This window comes from Homo sapiens, chromosome 8, assembly GCF_000001405.40.
Source record: "Homo sapiens chromosome 8, GRCh38.p14 Primary Assembly".
In the NCBI taxonomy this organism is placed as follows: domain Eukaryota; kingdom Metazoa; phylum Chordata; class Mammalia; order Primates; family Hominidae; genus Homo; species Homo sapiens.
The window spans coordinates 12,202,527-12,206,389 of NC_000008.11; the positions used below are offsets into that span (position 1 = coordinate 12,202,527).

At 50.4% G+C, this 3,863-nt stretch overlaps 1 pseudogene; it reads right to left on the minus strand.

The window, feature by feature from the left end:
* On the minus strand, positions 3,233-3,863 carry ENPP7P12 (ectonucleotide pyrophosphatase/phosphodiesterase 7 pseudogene 12; annotated as a pseudogene).

Here is a 3,863-nt window from a genome sequence, read left to right on the forward strand (position 1 = left end):
AGGGCAGGGGAGCCCCGAAGTGGAGCATAGTGTGTCCGGAACTGGTGGGTTCTTGGTCTCACTGACTTCAAGAAAGAAGCCGCGGACCCTCGCGGTGAGTGTCACAGTTCTTAAAGGCTGCGTGTCCAGAGTTTGTTCCTTCTGATGCTCGGATGTGTTCAGAGTTTCTTCCTTCTGGTGGTTTTGTGGTCTCGCTGGCTTCAGGAGTGAAGCTGCAGACCTTCAAGGTGAGTGTTACAACTCTTAAGGTGGGGCGTCTGGAGTTGTTTGTTCCTCCCGGTGGGTTCATAGTCTCGCTGGCTTCAGGAGTGAAGCTGCAGACCTTCGAGGTGAGTGTTACAGCTCATAAAGGCAGTGTGGACCCAAAGAGTGAGCAGCAGCAAGATTTATTGCAAAGAGCAAAAGAACAAAGCTTCCACAGTGTGGAAACGGACCCCAATGGGTTGCCACTGCTGGCTGGGGCAGCCTGCTTTTACTCCCTTCTCTGGCCCCACCCACATCCTGCTGATTGGTCCATTTTACAGTGAGCCGATTGGTCTGTTTTGACAGGGTGCTGATTGGTACATTTACAATCCCTGAGCTAGACACAAAAGGTCACCAAATCCCTACTAGATTAGCTAGATACAGAGTGTCGACTGGTGCATTCACAAACCCTGAGCTAGACACAGGGTGCTGATTGGTGTGTTTACAAACCTTGAGCTAGATACAGAGTGACAATTTGTGTATTTACAATCCCTTAGCTAGACATAAAGGTTCTCAAAGTCCCCACCAGACTCAGGAGCCCAGCTGGCTTCAGCAAGTGGGTCCCACACGGGGGCCGCAGGTGAGCTGCCTGCCAGTCCCGTGCCCTGTGCTGGCACTCCTCAGCCCTTGTGTGGTCGAAGGGACTGGGTGCCCTGGAGCAGGGGGCTGTGGTCGTCGGGGAGGCTCGGTACTCATCGGGGAGGCTCAGGTCGCGCAGGAGCCCACGGCGGGTTGGGTGGAGTCTCAGGCATGGCGGGCTGCATGTCCCGAGCCCTGCCCTGCAGGGAAGCAGCTAAGGCCCAGTGAGAAATTGAGCAAAGCAGCTGCTGGCCCAGGTGCTAAGCCCCTCACTGCCCGGGTCCATCGGGGCCGGTGAGCCACTCCGAGTGCAGGGCCCAGTGGGCCCATACCCACCCGGAACTCGCACTGGCCCACAAGCGCCGTGCCCAGTCCAAGTTCCTGCCCGCGCCTCTCCCTCTACACCTCCCCGCAAACTGAGGGAGCCGGCTCCAGCCTCCACCAGCCCAGGAAGGGGCTCCCACAGTGCAGCGGTGCACTGAAGGGCTCCTCAAGTGCCACCAAAGTGGGAGCCCAGGCAGAGGAGGCGCCGAGAGTGAGCGCGAGGGCTGCTAGCATGCTGTCACCTCTCAATAGCACTTGAGGGTTCTTGTCTTTATCCAGGAAAGAATTCAAGGGCAAGCCGGAGGTTTAGAAGAAAACAGCTTTATTGAAGAGGCAGCATTACAGCCCTGTGACTGCTCCTGTAGGGCAGGGCTACCCTGGTGGCAGAGAGTAGCGGCAGAGAGTTTGCAATCACATTTATACTCACTTTTAATTGCATGCAGATTAAAGGGCAGTTTATGCAGGAATTTCTAGAAAATGGGTAGTAACTTTTGAGTCATTGGGTCATTGCCATGGAAAGGGGCAGTAACTCCCTGGTGTTGCCTTGGCAATAGTAAACTCACATGGCACACTGGTGGGCATGTCTGATGGAAAGCTTCTTCTGCCCCAGCCCTGTTTTAGGTAGTCCTTAATTTGGTCTGGTGTCCAAGCCCTGCCTGTGTCGTCAAGTCCTGCCTCCTATCTCACAGTGGCGTGATCATGGCTCACTGCAGACTCAACACCCCCGGGCTCGAGCAGTTCTCCCACCTCAGCCTCCTGAGTTGCTGGGACCACAGGCACGTGCCACTACGCCCAGCTACATTTTTTGCATTTTTCGTAGAGATGGTGTTTCACTGTGTTGCCTAGGCTGGTCTCAAACTCCTGGGCTCAAGCAATGTACCAACGTTAGCCTTCTAAAGTGCTGGGATTACAGGTGTGAGCCACTGCACCCAGCCCAACCTTACATTTTTAATCTCAAGTCACTTCTCTCTACGTTTTGATTTCTTCTTTAAAATGGCGGAACTAAGAGCATCTATTTTATAGGGTTGTTGGGACGACAAAAATGAAAGAACTGCTGTTCAATGTTTAGTGAAGCGCTGTGCACAGTTTTGAATAATGAAGTTGGTGTTTATTTTTTATTATTTGTTTATTTATTTTTTAGAGACGGGGTCTTGCTCTGTTGCTCAAGCTGGAGTGCAGTAGTGCAATCACAGCTTAGTGCAGGATTGACCTCCTGGGTTCAAGAAATCCTGCCACCTCAGCCTCCTGAGTAGCTGGGACTACAGGCATGCATCGCCATGTCTGGCTATTTATTTATTTGTTAGTTTTTTGTAGAGATGACGTCTCCCTTTGTTGCTTGGGCTGGTCTTGAACTCCTGGCCTTAAGCAATCCTCCTGTCTTGGCCTCCCAAAACACTGAGATTACAGGTGTGAACCACCATGGCCAGCCTTATTTTTATTTTTAAATCAGCCTTATCAAGTTGAATTGGTCATTAATCTTGTATAACGGTAACTTGGCGCAGCATTGGTTGGGCGGGGGGTGGGGAACCTTTAGGACCCTGTGGGCTACAACTCATAGTGTGTGCACTTATTTTATTTTGTTTTGTTTTGTTATGTTATGTTATGTTATGTTATGTTATGTTATGTTATGTTATGTTATGTTATGTTATATTATATTATATTATATTATATTATATTATATTATATTATATTATATTATATTATATTTTTTTGAGATAGGGTCTCACTCTATTGCCCAGACTGGAGTGCAGTAGCATGATCTTGGCTCACTGCAACCTCTGCCTCCCAGGTTCAAGCGATTCTCCTGCCTCAGCCTCCAGAGCAGCTGGAACTACAGATGCGCGCCACCACGCCCGGCTAATTTTTGTATTTTTAGTAGAGCTGGGGTGTCACGATGTTGGCCAGGCTGGTCTCAAACTCCTGACCTCAGGTTATACACTTGCCTCAGCCTCCCAAAGTGCTAGGATTATAGGCGTGAACCACCGTGCCTGGCTGTGCACTAATGTTTGATTTTTGCAGAACCACCCTTCCCTAATGGTTGTCTCCTAGATCTAAGGTGACTTTATTCATTTTAGAATGAACTTACCCCATTGATACTGTAACCAGAGTTGGCATACATCACGATTGGCAGAACCCGGTCATGTTTAGCGATATGGAAGTGTTCTGGAAACTCCTCCTTCTTGTAGACGTGGAGGTGACGGTGCGCATTCTTCAGTGCCTGGTAAAGGGCTTCCTCTTGCCCCAACTTGGGCAGGGGCATCCCAAAGCCACCGTAGCGCACAATATCAAACTTGACCAGGTCCCTGAACTTGACGTAGTTGGACAAGGGGATCTTGTTGACATTGGGTCTCTTCTTTACGGTGGTCATCCCACGGTCTCATGTAATGATGACGCTGAGGTGCTCTGCAGGCTGTGCTTCTCAGTGGCTCCCACCAGATACCCGATGGTCCTGTCGATTTGCTGAATCATCAACTTCCTTTTCTCTGCCTCTGGCCCGAATCGATGTCCCACGTTATCTGGCTCTCTGTAGCACAGAGTCACAAAATCAAAGTCTTCCTTGGTGAACCAGTTCATGACGGTATCGATGTTCTCCTTCCGCTCTGTCTCGTTGCTGCTTGGGTGAGTGTAGGAATCCACCAGGGACCACTTGACAGCCTCACCCTCATATTTAGCACCTCCCCTGGAATAGTGGAATGATGCCGCTCTGTTCCCCTGTA